This window comes from Homo sapiens, chromosome 8 (genome assembly GCF_000001405.40).
Source record: "Homo sapiens chromosome 8, GRCh38.p14 Primary Assembly".
Classification (NCBI taxonomy): Eukaryota; Metazoa; Chordata; class Mammalia; order Primates; family Hominidae; genus Homo; species Homo sapiens.
The window spans coordinates 135530297-135549083 of NC_000008.11; the positions used below are offsets into that span (position 1 = coordinate 135530297).

Here is an 18787-nt window from a genome sequence, read left to right on the forward strand (position 1 = left end):
ACTGAAAATTGCGTGACTATACTGGTATTGGAGATAGGAAATGTGAACAGAACATAATCCCTCTTTTCTAGGATGCAGTCTTTTGGAGGAAAATGGCAAAAATTCATGCCGTAGATTGAACTATAAATTTCCATTAAAAGAAATAATCAATATGTAATTACATGAAAAATGGACACATAATACAAAGGCAGACTGATAATCATGGTTACAGAGAAAGAAGTCAGGCTTATGAGCCAGCCTGACCTGTGCTTTCTGGCACTGGGTGCATCACCTGTGTCTGTTCTGACTGTTAGACCAAATGGCCACTGAACGCTTCCACTTGGATACCCCACAAACATCTTAGAGATTTGCCATGTCCGTATCTGAACTTCATACCTCCTCTTCTTGGCCAACCTTGACTTTTTCCTGCGTTTTTTACTTGAGTAAATGACAGACAACAGTGTATTTGAGTACTCATGCCAGATACCAGGACATAATTTTTGTCTACGCACTTCTCTCTCATTGACCTGCTTGCCTCCATCCTTCAGATACCATTCATTTACTTTCTAAATTATCATCTATCTCTCTTTACATTTCATTTCACTCCTTAATTTAGAACACTATCACCCCTTACCCTATCGATTGCAATAGATTCTTTGCTGTATCAGTTTCTTGCCTTTGATTTTAAATCTTTCATATCATTCACCCCACTTGTAGCCTGACTTTTGTAGTCTGGGATTTTCTGAATTAACGGTTTCATGTTTATGGGCTTCATAGCTTGTCCTCCACACACTTCCTCCTGGAATATCCAACCTTAAGCAAATGCAGATAGCAAGTATGTAAGTTAGCTTATTTCAGATTGTATATTACTTGCGTGTGCCTGTGTGTGTGCATGTCTATGTTTTTTTTGCTCATATTATATTCTGGAAAAGTTACTTGTACACTTCATTGATCTTTAGAATTATTAACGTCTAAATAAGTTGGGCTGTTTATCATTTAGAAATGGATATTAGGTTAAAATTACAGTCAATGGAGTAACACCAAATAATCTCAACCACTACTAATAATACCTAGTGATCTGTAGTTGGAAAATTAATATATTTAAATAATAGTATTTATAGCTTTAATATAGTAATCTCTGCAACAACAAAAAAAATCAATAAAAACCTTATTGAATAGTGCTATTCAATTTGGAGAAAAATAAGCTTTAACTCCATAAGTATTTATTGAGAAACGATTATATACGAAAAATGCTTAATTAAATGTGGGTCCTACTTGCTCTCAAATAATTCATAATCTAATAGGGGAAAGGATAAATTTTACTAAATAATATAGGATAAAGATTGAATTAATATTACAAAGGTAGAGGCACAGCATAGAATTTAAGGACATGATGGAGAGTTATTTCTAGAGAAATAATTATGGATGAAATTAAATTTAGTCTTTAAGAATAAATTCAGGACATTAACAGACATGAGGGAGAAAGGTAGAATAACTGTTGGGCTAGAATGACTTCATTATGGGGAATAGTGGATCATAACATTCGTGTAAATCATAAGGAATATATTCTGGAATGCCTTCAGTGCTTTACTTGGGCATGGAATTGTATATATCTCGAAGAGAATCCTGAAATATTTGTGATATTGAAATAAACACCTAAACACAAGTTTGGAATGACTTATTCTTAGGACATTAAAATGCCCACGTACAAAGTGATTGTTATTTTCAGGGGTGATTATCAGGATCTTGAAAATGATTATCAGTAATGCAAAGCTTGACTCAGTTAGCAACTATGCTAAGAAACAAGTGTTTTGTTTCTGAGGAGGCTACTCCATTTCATGTGAATGCCATGGTCCCAAGTCCATTGTTAGGTTTACTGTTGTTTAGAGTTTGGCATTTACTACACTGATATAATTCAAATGAGATCAGAATCCTGAATACTAAGAATGGGGATTTATTTAAGTAATCATTGTGTTAGTGGTCAAATTATTAAACTTAAAATGTCCCATTGAGCTAATAAAAGTATCGATCGGTTCTTTCAAGAGGATAAAGGGAAAATAAACCTTGTTTGTTCTCCCTTTGTATTTTTGTCCTTGGGCAGGAAATAGGTAAGTGTAGATTATAAACTAAAGATGTTCTTTGAAAGCTTTTGTTCTCCCCAGTAAAGTACAGAAAGCAAGTGCTTGAGTGGTGTTCTCCAAAGAGGAGTGCGTGCTAATACATTTGGGTGCTGGGAAAATACAGTAGAACTTCTATTTATGTGTAGACTTCTGTTATGTGTGTGTACACACACGGAGTGGTTTTTTGTGTGCGAGGCATTATTCTAAGCACTTTACTATTAACTCATTTAATCTTTATAACATAAGATAGACATTATTATTTCCTGTTGACGTGAAAAAAAATGGAAGAACAGAGAAGTTGAGTAACTTGCTAAAAGTTACTAAGTATCGGGCACTTGAATCCTAGAAGTCTGACTCCAGGGCCTATGCTTTTAAGAAATTAAACTTTATTAATATTTAGTGCATGGATTAGTACAGTACCCTTACATGATTCATCTAAGTCCAGTTATATGCACTTTGAGACAGTATCCTGAAGTGAAAGGGGCTATTCCACAGTGCAGGTCTCACAAAGGTATTAGTATTAGATAAACAATGTAAATTTATTTTGCTAGATGTGGGTCTGAAGTAGAATGTAAAACGGAGGATATAAAGAATTTTTTTTTGAATGTTTAGATACAGTGCAAGGTACAGTTCTCGATTTACATTGGTTGAACTCAAGATTTTTTTACTTTATGATGGCGTGAAAGCAAAACACCATTTATTAATTCATTTGCTTTCAGTGTACTGGGGCATACAGCTATTTATATGTGCCTGGTTGCAGATTTATGGATTATGTTAGCTAGTTTTAATTAAACATGTCCTCCAGTGGGCAAATATTACTGCAAAAGACACTGTTAATTAAGGGTTGTAGATAAATACAATTTAAATTAGTGACAAAACCAGAGAGCTGATCCTTCTTTTGTGCCTAGTACAACTCAGCCTTATAAAAAGATTAAAAACAACTATGATCCAGTTGGATATGACAAGAACAGTCTTCTCAGTTGGAGCTATTTCTCTACGTATGGTAGTGTTAATGATGAATCTTGGCCTAGATAAGTATTGCAGTATTAACCAGTGATAGAACAGGCTTATGATTTTTAGATAGATAAATGTGTGTGTGTATACACACACAGTACCCATTGAAGGAGCAAAGGTGTAAATATGGGTGGGGATAATTCTTACATTGCCTAACTTAAGACTGTGGAATATTTGAGGTAATAACCTATAGGTAGTATTTACATTTGCTGTCACCATGGAATGTACTGATGGACCTGCTTTATTGCCTTCCTCCTTTCTCACAGTTTCTTAGCTGTTAAACTGATTTGAGATATATACTGATCCTCGCTTACAATGGGGTTTTGTCCCAATAAGCCACTTGTAGGTTAAAAATATTGTAAGTCAAAAATGTATTTGACACACCTAAGCTACTGAACATCAAAGCTTAGCCTAGCCTACCTTAAATATGTTCGGAACACTCAACATTAGCCTATAGTTGGGCAAAATCATTTAACACAAAGCCTGTTTTATAATGAAGTCTTGGATATCTCATGTAATTTATCAAATATTGAACTGAAATTGAAAAACCAGAATGGTCGTATGGATACTGGAAATAAAGTTTCCTACTGCACGTGTTTTGCTTTCACACCATCATAAAGTCAAAAAATCCTAAGTTGAACCATTGTAAGTCGAGAACTGTCTATATCTTGTACTGTATCCAAACATTTTTTAAAAAAATTCTTTATATCCTCCTTTTTACTTTCTACTTTAGACCCACCTCTAGAGAAATAAATTTACATTGTTTATCTAATACTAATATCCTTTATTTTACAATTCTTCTCAGGTGTTTTTTTTTTAACATTTTTAGATAAACACTTAGAACTTAAGCTCAATTACAAGTCCTTGTTGGCCAGTTAGACCCCATATACCAAAAATGTGCTTCCTTTCATCTCCCTGTGTGGTATATTCTAGGTTTTGTTTTAATTAACATCTTGGGTAGTGATTAATACTTTCGGGGCATTAATTTCAGTTGGTATTTGTCATTCACTTTTGTATGCATGAAATATTCCTTGCCTGTCATAAGTTACATGCTGTTCTAGACAGTCATTGAGGTACAAAGATGAGTAAGACAGGGTTTCCGCGCTCAGAGAAATCACCATCTTGCTTCTCAACTTAGGAAAAAGAAGGCGACAGGCAGGTAGCTAGCCAGGCCTTAGAAAAGACCATAATGTTTGAGGGTATTAAAATTTGACTTTTTGATCAGTGACTGCTTTGTCATTTTTATCAGTGGTGTAGTGTATATATTGTGCTCTGCCCCCATGACCATACATGCAAGCCTTCAGGCCCTGCGTGGTGCCCTTCCCGGAGTTTGTCTGACTCTGCATCTCGCTTACCTGATTGCATGCAGCAGAATTGACACAATGCCAGCTCCAAGCCTGAGCTTTAAGAAAGACTTCTAGCTTCTGCTTTTCTCATCTTGGAAATCAGACACCATGCACAAGCCTATTCACGCTGAGGCTGCCATGGTAAGTGGAAGCTTAAGATACTCAGGTGAAGAAGAGTCAGGCAAACCAGCAGGAACTGAGGTCCCCGCTGACAGCCACCACTAACTCATGAGCCTGTCTGCCCCCAACAGTGCCGAAGTTGCTGAATTGTGAGCAAATAAATAAGATGGTTATTTTTCAAGACCATTCAATTTGGCAGTAGTTTGTTATGTAGTAGTGGATAACCAAGATAGCCTTAAAGTGGAACTTTTCTGTCCCTAATTTTCTAATTTGTGTGAAAATCAGTTAAGGTTGTGTGAAAATCATATAGTTTATACCTGTTAATATACCTGTTTATTATATTAACTATAATAAACTATTATATATAGTTAAACTATATATAAACTATTATATATAGTTAAACTATATATAAACTATTATATATAGTTAAACTATATATAAACTATTATATATAGTTAAACTATATATAAACTATTATATATAGTTAAACTATATATAAACTATTATATATAGTTAAACTATATATAAACTATTATATATAGTTAAACTATATATAAACTATTATATATAGTTTATACCTGTTACTTGCAAATAGGGACTCATAATTTCTGTAGAATATAGTTTGTTCTGAAAAAAGTTTTGATGTCTTTAATTGAATATAACATTATGGTCTTTATGGGATAGAACAGTTATTATATATTTATATGTGTGTTGGGTCAAGAAGTTTAACTCAATTGCAAAATGCTGTATAAGAAATTTTCTTTTTTTATCCTATGGGTCACTTAACTTTGTAGAATGTGACTTTTCTTTTTAAATACCAGAAGGTATCCCAGTCCATTTGTGCTGCCGCCATGAAATATTTGAGACTGAGGAATGTATAAAGCACAGAAATTTATATTCTCACAGTTCTGGAGGCTGGGAAGTCCAAGGTCAAGGCACCGGCAGGTTTACTGTGTGGCGAGGGCATGGTCCCTGCTTCTAAGATGGTGCCTTAAACACCGATTCCTCCTGAAGATTAGGCTTTGGTTCAGGAGAAGGACATAGGATAGGTGGCTCTGGGCAGATTTCAGCAATCCCTTATCCCCCACTATCTCCCCAGGGGAAGTGGTTTCTTTATTTTCTTTAATTTTCTCTGTGAGTGCCTGGGGGTAGGAGGGATTTTTTTGCAGATAAAGCTTTTAAGAAGGTTTCAACTTTTCTAATTGGGTGGTTTCCAGGGCTCCATACTCTCATGCTAGCCCACCCCAGATGAGCAAATGCTTGAGTTTTATTTCTCCCTGTAGATTCCTGGACAGAGATACCTACAGGGAGAAATAATTTTTGCCCATAGACTTCAGTGTTAATTTGCTTTCTGTCCAGTTTTTTTTTTTTTTTTTTTTTTTTTTTTATTATTGTTTAAAAGGTGGATGTGACGTTCCTTCCAACTCTGTACTTCTGAACTGAATGTGCAGTTCTTGGAGCACAGCAGTTTTGAGAAGCTGAAAGAAATCCAGAATGGCTAAAATTAAAAGCAGAAATGTGGTGAGGCTAGAGAGGTGAGCCAGAGCTAGCATGTTTGGGAAGGGCTTTTCACAGCAGTAGCAAAACACTAGCACTCAGGTTCGCAGGACAGTCACATCGTTGTATTTTAAGCAGAGGTGTAATATGGGCAACTTGTGTTTTAAAAAGACCTTTCTGTTGATTGAAGGAGATGGAAGTGGATACAGAGAAAGGACTCTACAGTGGTCCAGGGAGAGCAGATGAGGGCCTAGACTAGGGTGGTTGTGGGAGGACTGAAGAAAATGGACAGATTTAAGAGATGTTGGCCGGGCGCGGTGGCTCACGCCTGTAATCCCAGCACTTTGGGAGGCCGAGGCGGGTGGATCATGAGGTCAGGAGATCGAGACCATCCTGGCTAACAAGGTGAAACCCCGTCTCTACTAAAAATACAAAAAATTAGCCGGGCGCGGTGGCGGGCGCCTGTAGTCCCAGCTACTCGGGAGGCTGAGGCAGGAGAATGGCATGAACCCGGGAAGCGGAGCTTGCAGTGAGCCGAGATTGCGCCACTGCAGTCCGCAGTCCGACCTGGGCGACAGAGCGAAACTCCATCTCAAAAAAAAAAAAAAAAAAAAAAAAAAAAAAAGGAGATGTTTAGGAGGTAAAATCATTAACATATAACTAATTAGATCATTAACATGTATTAAACGCCCTCTCTATTCATGTTGGAGAGATAAAGCAGTGAACACACAGGCCTAGTCAGTGCCCTCGTGCAGTAGGTGGCAGGCTTCAGGCTTGAGTTACTGCGAAGACAGTGGCACCATTTGCTGGGCTAAGGGACTCTGGAAGAAGAGCATGTTTGAAGCTATGGTGGCGGAGTTTCCAAGTTCAGTGTTGAGTGTTGTGTTAGAGGTCAGTAAGATATCCCTTTATTATACTAATCAGCTTTTTGGTGAGCACTCAGTTATGGGAAACCTTTTAATGGAGACCGTGACAGGTTCTTGAGATTTAGTTGTTTATGAAATGACAGCTTAACTGTAATTGCTCCCCAAGGAACAGTGTCATGTCACAATTATAGTTTAGATCAATTAAAGCTAGTTCAGAAAGGCGCTTGGTCTTTACCAGTGAATAATATAATTATTGTAGCTTATACATCATGCAGTGAAACTCAGATATACTTACTATATGTTGTTATACCATCTTCATAATCACTTGAAAACCAACTCAGGGTATGTGACTTTTCCTGATTAGTGGAAACAAGCAGTTCAGCTAATCTTTAATGGAGAAAATAATGGGACTTTGGATGGTTTGTGTTTAAAAATGTAACATTTGTGTGTCTGTGAGAGATACAATAATTGACATCTGGAGAAAAATTATTAGTCTTAGGAATGATAATTTGTAAATTTGTAAAATGATAATTTCCATGTAAGTGAACAAATAAAATTATTAATGAATATTAATATTAATGAATATGTATTAATGGACAAATGAGGTTATTTATACAAATGAATATTAAAATGTATTTGCTTATTTCTTACTGTCTTGCAGATATAGTTTTTAAAATAAAAAATCAGGACATGGATAAGGGGAGATTTTATTTGAAAAGGTGACTGCAAGACCACAGAAAGGGACTATTGGCAATAGGGAGAGGGGATATTAAAAAGGGAGAAAGCACTGACCATGAGAACTGTAAGTTATATCTCAGAAGTCAGGCAGAAAAAGGCTTTCCTTTCATGAGTGAAGTGATTGAGGCCAGAACGGTGTGGGGCAGTGCGATGAATGGGTGGTAGTGGCAGGATGGGACAGTGATCAGAGAACACTACCCTGAGCTTGGCCTGTTTTCCAAAGGGGCTTTTGGGTGGAGCTTGTCTGCTGGTTCAGATTGAAGATGGGTCAAAGTTCAGGGGTCTGGACAAAGGAGAGAAGTGGAACCAAAGTTTAACTAACTCAGGACATATGTCTTTTTCTGATTGACCAGTGGAAACAAACAGTTCAGCTACTTTTTAAGGGGCAAAATAATGGGAATTTTGAGGGTTTGTGTCTGTCCTTGCTGTAGGTAAATAAAGGATCCTCTGTGAGTCTTATCTAAGTTATGTGGGTAAGAGTGGGCCTTTGCAACAAGCACTTTCCAGAAACACAAAAGGGTGGGGAGATTTTGTAATCATCACTGTTTTTAGGTGCACAGGGCTGCTCAGGTAAAATTCAACATTGTCACCGTGCTTAACACTTTATCTGATATTTTATTCTTCATAATGACCCTGAAATGTAATGACTTTTATAAGCCACACCTGGTAAATGTGAAACTGAAAACTAGAAATGCTGAGAAACCTCTGTGTTCACATTGCTGATAAGATGAGGGCACTGTATGATGACACCCCTTCAGAACCCATAGCAAGTGGGACATCAGGAGGTGTTATGGGACTAATGGCAAAGAAGACAACTATGCCGCTTTCGTTGTTTATTATTTATATCATCCAGAAAGTCCAAAATACATACTCAGTCCATCTATTAGTTAGGCCTTTTCTTGTTGCGAATACCGACTATGACTAGCTTGAAGGATTTTTTCTTTAAAAAAAGGAAAACAACAAAAAACAACAACAAAAAAAACCTACCTTAGGGTGTCCTATAGAATGCATGGAGGAATTGAACTTGCAAACTGAAAAGACAGTAATAAGAGCTTTAAGCCTAAGAAATTGTCTCTGGCTTTTCCCTCTAGCAGTATTTTTTACCTGGGCCACAATTGACATTTTAAACAGGACACTTTGGTGAAGGGCAGGACCATCTGTTTCTGATGCCTGACATAGGCCTTTGCCCCTGAGTCCCAGTAGTGACCCTAGTCATTGTGACAACCAAATAAACATGCTAAATATTTCCAAGTGTCCCACAGGGAGGTGATGCAACATCTGCAGTTTGAGAACCTGCCGGAGCAGCCAAGCACATTACCATTATTGTGACTCAGCTCTCAGGACATTCAGTATCCACATAATCAGTTCTAAATTTCAGAATCTCTTGATTTCCAGTCAAAGGCCAATTCCTCGGCCGATCTGGGTGGCCTGGGCCAGGTCATGCCATTTTCAGTGTGGTGGCTCCCTTGGTAGCCTTCTCCCACTTGCCATAGGTTCTGAAGGGGATGCAGTTCCACAGTAGGTGGGTCTTGTTCAGATAAAATTGTATATATCCACAACAGTTAAATTCATCTATTTATTACTTACTAATTTGGCATCAAGTATACGCAATCTGCTGGCTGCTCTCTTAGGTGATTTTCGTATACTTTCTTACTTAATTCATGCGACCTGCACCCACAGTAGGTAATATGGTCTGTGTTTTGTGGATGAAAAGTCTGAGACTCAGGAGGGTTAATTTGACTCAGGAGATAGAAGTAACTTGACTAGGGAGATACATGGTTGAACAGAGTTGAGAGGAAAAAGAAGGGAAAATAAAAGTGTTTCTGGTTGTCACAGTATTCATTTATGTACTTTTTGTGAACAAAACACTAACAGAAGTTAAGTGGAAAAAAGAAACCCCTAAAGGTATATAAAAGTCAATAAAATGCTTTTTCTTTTTACCTGGAATGCTGTCAAGTGACCTTTAATCAATCATGTCTTTCTATGGACTTCAGATTCTTCTGTATAAAATTAGATGTTTGGATTGGATGATTTCTAAAGCCTCTTAATTTTTATCACTTGGGAACTATTTGACCTAACTTAAGATGCAAGATAAATATGACTATTTGACTATCAAAATTTATTTTTGCTCCATTTTTGAAACCTATTAAAATAAATATAAATGAAATAAAAAGGCATAAATTTATGAAGATCACAAGAATGGGAGAGTGGGACAACAATAGGCAAATGATGTCTGTAAAATTTTGGTGCTTGCAAAATAAATAGATAAATGGTAACGGAGACCAGAGAAAGCAGAACCCTGAGCTGGCAGGCAGGGAAGAATTCAACCAGAAACATGTTCATTACTGTGGGAAAACTCGAGAGCGCTCAGGAATTGTAGGTAGCAATTACTGTAAAGGTGGATTTATGGATTAGAACTGACAAGAGTAGACTTGGTTGAAAGGTATAAGGAGTAGTTAGATCACAAGATGTTCTCATCTTATAAAACCAGGCATCTGCCCCTCCACACTCTAGCAAAAGACCAGAGGTTTCCTGAAGAGGTTGAATTGGACAACTGTGAGGCTCCAAGATACAGACAGATACAACTGAGGATGAGGGTGAGATATCACACTGAAAATGAGGGAATTGTTTCCTTTAAATAAAAGTGTGCGTGCTTAGTGATGGGATTCCCAGTATTCTGGCAGCTGGGCTTACACCTCCTCTTAAGAGATTGAGGAGTTTCTCTTCAGGGAAGTGCCTCGCCCAAGTGAAACGAAATACAGATACTGATATTTCAGTAGCTCTTGATAAAATAACTCAGCTGCCATATTTGCAATGAAGACTGCTGTTGCCAAGTCCCATGTATGAAAACAGAACTTCCAGTCAGCAATCCGGAATTTTTAAGAACAGATAGTAGAGGATTACCAGACATCTGAGGAAATCCCATAAAAGAGAAAGAGACCAGCTCACAAAATGGGGAAGGGGAGACTCTTGGAAGAAGCAGATACTTTAAACTCCAAGGCGGGGACAGGCTGCTGTCATCAATATCTTCAGAAAGGATGAGAAATTTAATTGTTTCCACAAAGTGTAACAAAACACCATAAAGAAGAAACAGCTGTAAGACAGTCGTATTCGTAAATATTTGATAGCAAAAATGAAGGAATCAGTAGGTATATAGGAAATGTATTTAAATTCTCCAGAAAGTAAAACAGAGAGACACAAACAATAAAAGAGAAATTTAGAGATAGCAGTCCATCTCAGGATGTCCAATGTCCAAATAATAGGATTTTCAGAAAGATAATAAAAGTAAATGGGGAGCTAGAATCAGGTGGGATTGTATGGGTCAGTACCCAGTCCCATTCTTGCTCCCCATTTACTCCACTTTTTCACTCTGTAGTAGTATTAGACTTTGTAAACTCTGCAAGTATAACTTTTATGTTTAAAAATATTTTACTGAAAATGGCATTTTAACAAGCAAAAAATAATTACATGCAAAGATTAAAAATATATATTTGAGTTTTGGTTGAAGACCAATAAAATTAAAAGTTGGAAGGAAAAAATACCACTTAGATTTTTTAAAGTGCTAAGTACTTATTTCAGGAAAATTACTTCAATTGCCATAGTTAGGTAAATTGAGGAACAATTTTCTCTCAGAAACAGCAGCACAGCAGTGGCATGGATCACGGAAGAAGTGGCTGCTATGTGAGTTTGTAATCAAGCATCTTGCCAAGGCGAACAGCTTCCTCCCTGCTGATTTTCTATTTGGTAGCAAGAAGTAGTCATGATTTACCTTAATTATAGCAAGGCTTTTAAAAATTGTGTGAAATTCCTGATTTTTTTTTGTATTCAAGATGTATGTATTGAGTGTCTGTTATCTGGCAAGCATTGTTTTAAACAGTTTATTTATATTGACTTATTTAATCCTTAGAACAGCCCTATGAAGGTAGGTCTTGTTGTCATTCCTATTTTACAGATGAAGAAACTGAGGTATAGACAGGTTAGGTAACTTGCCCAGGTTTACTCAGCTGGCAAACAGAAAAGGCTAGGTTTTAAATCATGGTAGTCTGGTTACAGAAGGCATACCCTTAATTAATTCATTACTATTCTGCTTGTTAAGGAACCACAGACATCTAAGTTTAAATAAATTGCCCACATTCCCATAGCTAGTTATTTTAGAAGCAATGAATTTTATTGTAAAGCTTCCATCAGCCACCGAATGCTTAAGAACTCATCTAAGCCAGTCCTCTCATTGATTGAATAACTAGATCCAAGGGCTGACCGGGTAGAAGAACCAGGTATTCCACAGTGACCAGTCTAGTGCATGTTAGAGACACCTGGTGTCATTTTTTCTCACCTACATTCTCATCCTAGAAGTGTTCATTCATGGTGATATTTAACGTGTGCTGAAACTGTTAGGATAGCAACCGAGGAATTCTGGGAAATTAGCTTCATTCACAGTTGTGGAATATAGCCATCACTGAAATAAATATAAAGAAATATATCAGGGTTTTTTATTTTACGTTTAGCCCCGTTTTATGTGGTGTGTGGGAAACATCATATTTTAATGCATGTAGCAGGAGCTTAAATATTTGCCATTAATCAATGATGTGTAGCACACTACAGTGTTTCTTAACATTCAAGATTAAGAAATTGCTTTCACATATAAATGCTACAAATTTGGTTGTTTATTTTTCCTAGTTCAACTTTGTGGGGAAACTTTTGGGTCCACGTGGCAATTCTCTGAAGCGTTTACAAGAAGAAACCTTGACAAAAATGTCCATCCTTGGGAAAGGTTCCATGAGAGACAAGGCCAAGGTAATATTAATTATAGAAAACGGCTAAGTTGTGTATCATGTTATATTATGTGCTCTTATATTATCCACTGTATTCATACATAGTTACATAAGGGGATGTATTTGTGATACTGTTTAGAAAATTGAGTCACTCTGGTCAGCTTCAGAATATGTAGTAACTTAAACCTGCATCTGTAACCTTTATAGTCATACATTAAATAAAAACATAATACTTAAAGTTTTGATTGCAGTTGTAATATGTCACCTTGTAGGAAGTAAAGTAATATTAAAATTATCATGAAAAGAAATAAAAGCTATCTATAGTCTCATCATTACTGTTTGCATTTTAGATTAGTGTTTTTGGAGTCTTTTTTTCTGTGCAGACCTTACATATAGTTGAGTTTATAATGTATATGCTTTTATTTCTTCTTTTTGTCTTTTATTTGATATTGTGTGCATTTTAGAATGTTATTAAAATTGATTTTAAGTGTAGTAACTGCTTATTGTTCTAACACATAATTGTTCTACTTAGATGTATTCACATTAATAGTCATGGTTTTTAACCAGCTAAAAATAGTGTTATTTTTATTGATCATTTTCTTAAATATGCCAATTCTGAAAATTTTCTCATATCATAATGTGTGTCACATTGTTTTCTAAAGACACGTGTTGTTTTCTCATTATTAAAAGATTTATATTACTGAGAACCAAATCCACATTGAGTGATCACATACCGTGAAATGTTGAACAATGATGTTTTAAACACAGGTGATTTAAACACAATCCAACATCCTCACAAAAAAGCTATCTAAACAATAGCTTTTATAATACAAATGGCCAGTATTTGTTTATTCAGCTGCTACTGTGAGTCAGGCGCTGTGTGAAACATGTTACATGCATTCCTTCATGTTATCCTTGGAAAAATGATGGGAGATAATATTTTCTTCATTTTACATGTAAGGAAACTGAGATTCAGAGAACTTGAGTATATTATCTGGGTTAATTTGAGAATTTTTTGTTTTTGATTAACACAGTTAATAAAACCATGGTTTTCTGACAACAGCACCCGTATATTTTCGACAGCATTGGAAAACATGACATGTTTCAGATTTGTGTGGGATACTGTTTAAAAGTAGATTCCCATACCTCTACTTGTTTAGGGTAGAAACTCAAAATGAATTTCAGTAGGTGTTTGAAATGATTCCAGTGCATGGCCTGGTTTTTTTAATTACTCACTAAACATTGCTCTCTTAAATTATGACTTCAATTCTCTGACTCATCTATTCTGGCAGTAGGAGAAAATGAAAACATATATTTGGCCAGTTGGTCAGAAATTATGTGTATTTTGCAGGAAAGTACTCTACCCTTGCTGATATCTTAGTTCACGCTCTAATAAGGCCATCTGGTAATGGGCTGCACGATATGAGCAGTGAAACCCACAAGCAGGATTCCACTGTCCCACTTATTTAGTTTGTTGTTAAGGGGGTTGGTCAGAACCACTGCTTGGTCAGAAGCAGTGTTTTGTAGCATACAGTGGTAGTTATCAGGGCATCCACAAGAATTTTACAGGTAGAAGGGAAACAAGGAAGGCAAAGCTTTATCTGGATTGTATGCCCGAGTTAACAGCAAGTGCCTGACTACCCATATAATGAAAGGGATCCTAAATATTATCAGCTTGGTGTCAGGGCTTGGTGGGCCTTCCAGATGATATTGTCATATCAAGGCTGTCTGCTGTTGGCATATTGGACACACAGCATGTCAATAGCCAGTGATCCTTTTTGAGGGGAGTCGGTGTTATGAAGTAATGCATGACTTCCCTCCTGGCCACCGTGGCCATTTTGCTGATGAGCACCTTGAGTTGCATGGAGACTGCTGGGGATTAAGGTGCTCTAGCATCTGCTGCAATGAGTCCTCTTGACTACCTGGCTGAATGCCAGCTCTGCATTTGCATGGGACACCCTGATTTTACATGATTGACCCTCTTTTCCAGATCACCCATTCACTGGTTCTTTCATTTCTATGTCTTTGGAAATCAGTATGGTGATTCTGCAAGTGGCTGATTGTGTATATTTCATCAAGGCACTCAGGAACCAGGGAGGGGAGTAGCATACATTGTGGATTTACAATCCACTGAACCCACTGTCAGTGGACTGAGACCAGAAGTCTCCTTACCTTCTAATCCCATAAGCCCCACTCTGCTTGGTGGCCCTCAGTGGAGTGGCATTAGGTCAGAATCAGTTCTGTTAATTCTCAAACTGTCTAAGTGTTTCCTCTGCTCGGTGTAAAGTCACTCTAGTAAAATGTCCGAGATCCTTGCTGGGATCTGAGATTCAGAGAATTTGAATATATTATCTGGGTTTATTAGAGAGATTCATTGTTTTGGGAGGACTAGGAGGAAGCTCACACACTAGGAAATATCATAGTTACTGTACGCAAGCAGCCTTTCCCCTGGGTTTAACATAGCTCTCTTATTCTCTGCATGTTTGGTTAAGCAGAGATTGATCGTAGGCCAGGAGATGATAAGGAGGAGGAGTAGTGAAGCATGAGAATTGTCATCTCCCTTCAAGGAACTACCTCGGCTGTGTAAGCAACATGGGAAAAACATCACCAGGCAGGCTTTTGCCGTGTGGAAGGCTCTGTGGCATTTCAGTATTTGAGTACTCAAAGTTATTTGAATCCTCCCAGACGTCAATGTGTTCTCAGGTTTAATTTATTCTTAGGTTTTCACTGTTATCCAGACACTGTCCTGAGTCTCACATAAGAGACGGCTGAGCATCTGTATTGTTATTCAGCCGCACACAGACTTGAACTCTGCACCTGTTTGTTGGCCCTGTCAACCTGTGGCTGCAAGCGGTGCACCCTAGCTTACTTCTGGCTCTTTGGGCTTGAACTGATAATGTAAAGCCCCAGTCTGTCATTTTCTCTCTAAACTCTTTTCCACCAGTTTTGTCTATCTCTTGTCCACCTGTACTCCTCTCCCCATTTTTGTCCCATACTGCGCTGTAGCCTCTGTCACATGATCCATCAGTCATTCTTTCAAAAGCATTTTACTGAGGGTGACCACAGATGATCATTTAAGTAACAGGTTTGCAACTTAAATGGATACTGGCCAGTCATGGTGGCTCATGCCTGTAATCCCAGCACTTTGGGAGGCCAAGGCGGGGTGATCACCTGAGGTCAGGAGTTCGAGACCAGCCTGGCCAACATGGTGAAACCCCATCTATACTAAAAATATAAAAATTAGCCGGGCATGGTGGTGCACGTCTGTAATCCTGGCTACTCAGATGCTGAGACACGAGAATTGCTTGAACCCGGGAGGCAGAGGTTGCAGTGAGCTGAGATTGAGCCACTGCACTCTAACCTGGGTGAAAGAGCAAGACTCTGTCTCCCAAAAAAATAAATAAATTAAAAAAAAAAAAGATACTACTAGTATCCCATCTGCTGTATTATAATCAGATAGTCACTGCCTGAATTCTTGAATATTGATTTCAGTTGATCCTTTTTACTAGTTTTAGTTTTCAGAAGTTATCAGTTAATATGTTTATTTCTAAAGAGATTCCCATTACTTATTATTTTAATCTCATCCATTTAGATTTTCAAAGTGTTCACTATTAAAATCTAATGTGAATATAATTTTTCTGCATTTATTTGCTACATTTATGAAATTATGGGAGTCATTATTGATGTATATTAGTTGGTTACATAGCATAATAATCATGACAGTGCTCCGGTCTGTTGAGCTTTCAGCTTGTGCCAAACTTCATGCTGGATGTTTTGCCTGCATCATTTATACTATACAATAATAGAATAAATGATAGTGATATAATAATTATCATTACTATATTTATCATTTACTGAGCGCTTATTATGTGCAAGGCTTCATCCTAAAGACGTTTTGTTTGTTAACTCCTTTATTACTATAACAGCCTTATGAGATAAGTACTGTACTATTATTTTCCCCACTTAAAAATCACCCCTTTAAGATGAGGGTAATGTAATCTGCCCAAGTCATACAGTTAATGTTGAATTAGGGGTTTAATGCAGAATTTCAACATCTGTGTTTTTCTCCAAATAACACATTGCCTGTCATCATTAATCTGTAGAGTAGTTTGGTAATAACTCCCCTCTCTGTGGGATTGTACCCTGGCTACAGCTATGATAAGAAATCCTCTCTGTCCAGCTTAAGTTTGTGATAGAAATAATAATGCTTGAATAATAATGAACAATTATAATCTTTCATTAACATCATTATTTTGATACTCTATTAGAAAAGGATAAGTGTTTGTTTCAATAATTTGTGCTTTCAGGGATGAATTGCTGTACATAGAATGCAATTTTTAAAACTTGAGCAATGAGAGAGATTCAGATCAGATGGTTGAAATGTTCTGATTAGAACAATGAAGAGTTGGCGTAAGATAATGTTTTGTATAGTCAAAACAAATTTCAAAGGAAATTTATAGAATATTATGGCAGCTTATATTTACATATATTCCCTTATATTTTTTCCTTTCATTCAGTTTCTGGCCTACTTCTATTAATGTGATGGAAGCTAGCATGTATTGGTGCCTATTATATGTTAGGCAGTGTACTAGGTAGTATATACACTGTCTCCTTTCGCCAGCATTTATATAAAGCTGTGCCTTGTATTCTCAGTAGTTCTGCATTAATATACATGTGCTACCAATAAACAGATTTTGCAAATTAAGTATTGGATTACATACAGTCTGTCTAAACTCACATGGCTAGTGACTGGCATAGCTGAGATGAAATTATAGGTGACTAAATCCCATGCCCATTTCCCGCTCTGTGTATTAGTCTTTCTTTTCTTTGTAAGAGTTCAAATTAGTCAAGTAACAGAAGTTGAATCCTTCAAGGGTGAAGTCAAGGGCTATGTGCCTCTAGCATTTATTTTATTATTGGCCTCTTGCTTAATTGTGAAATTAAAAGGTGGTATTGCCAGGAATTCCTGGGGTTCTCTTGGTTATGGGATAGCCTTTTTGAGAGACTAGAAAGATTTCTTATCTTTTGGAAATTAGCCTCAGATTCCTGTTAATCTTAATCTGTCTGATACTAACATTGGAAACAGAGACTAATGGAAGACCCAGATTCTGAAATCAGGACCTAAAATTGAAGGTTAGTTAGGAAAAGGCAGTGGAGCAAAATCAGTAGTTCCTTAACGATCTGTTTTTTTCTCCTCCTAATTTTCGTCCTGCATTTCCTTATGGAAACAAACAAAGATTAAAAACTTTGTCATAATTATGTAAAATAACGTAATAAAGTCTTTCATTTTGTTTTATTCACTGTTTTATTCTCAGATAGAATATAGTGCTTGGTATGTAGAAATGTTTTTTGAATGAATATGCGAACGAGCAAATTGACATAGCAATGAATGAATGTTTAATCATTCATTCAACGAATCTTTGTTGAACATCTGTATACCAAGCACTTCTCTAGACATGGAAAATGCATCACTAAGCAAAGCAGTCACAGTGTCTGCTCCATGGTAATCACTTTTTACTAAGAGAAGATAGAAAATAGACATGTTTTTAAAAATAAGTTATTTCAGATAGTGATAAGTGCCTTGTACCAGCATCACAGAGACGCACACAGCCAGTGTAGAAGTGAGCACGTGAGCTCAGCCAGGTTGAGAAGCACAAAAGAAGTGTGGGCAGTGGCTGCGGAGGGTTGAGCAAAGGAGACTGGAGAAGGTGAAGACACCCTAGCAGCGGAAGTGAGCAGATGATGGGGCTCCTACAAGTCAGCGTCTGGAGTGGGACATTATTCCAGCAGCAGTAGGAAGCCTTTGAGTGTGTGTAAAAGCCTGGGAATATCAGGATCACATTTATAGCTTAAACCTTCTTTTTTAGAGTAGTGTCTACTGTGACAACCGCTTGCCAGATGGATTGTTTTTATTTTGGGGGTTAGTTTTTATTTATTTATTTATTTATCTTTCATTTCTTATAATGACACGTTTTTAAATGTGATTTCTTTTTTCCTTTTTCCAGGAAGAAGAGTTGAGGAAAAGTGGAGAAGCGAAGTACTTCCATCTCAATGATGATCTCCATGTTCTCATTGAAGTGTTTGCCCCACCTGCAGAAGCTTATGCCAGGATGGGACATGCTTTGGAAGAAATCAAAAAGTTCCTCATCCCTGTTAGTACCATTTTTCTTGATAGTTAACTTGTACTTTAAAGTCTTTGCTTTAATCCTTGATACTTCTTGTCTGTAACTGTTATTTGCATAGCTCCTTTTCTGCTGTAAAGCTGTATGGACATCACCTCAAGTAGACCTTACATTGTCCTTGTAAATTACTGGGCATTATTCCTTATGTATATA

The 18787-nt window shown here is 37.0% G+C and overlaps 1 protein-coding gene across 15 annotated transcripts in view; it reads left to right on the top strand.

Moving 5' to 3' along the window:
• KHDRBS3 (KH RNA binding domain containing, signal transduction associated 3) overlaps positions 1 to 18787 on the top strand; it is a 199061-nt gene that overhangs the window by 72841 nt on the left and 107433 nt on the right. For all 15 annotated transcript variants that reach the window (XR_242372.3, XR_001745458.2, XR_928287.2 and 12 more), the window contains 2 exons: positions 12358 to 12474; positions 18458 to 18604. Coding sequence is in view for 9 of the 15 variants with exons in the window: in XM_047421269.1 (XP_047277225.1) it covers positions 12358 to 12474; positions 18458 to 18604 (264 nt within the window). In the remaining 6 variants the exon portion in view is untranslated. The remainder of the gene's footprint in view (positions 1 to 12357; positions 12475 to 18457; positions 18605 to 18787) is intronic.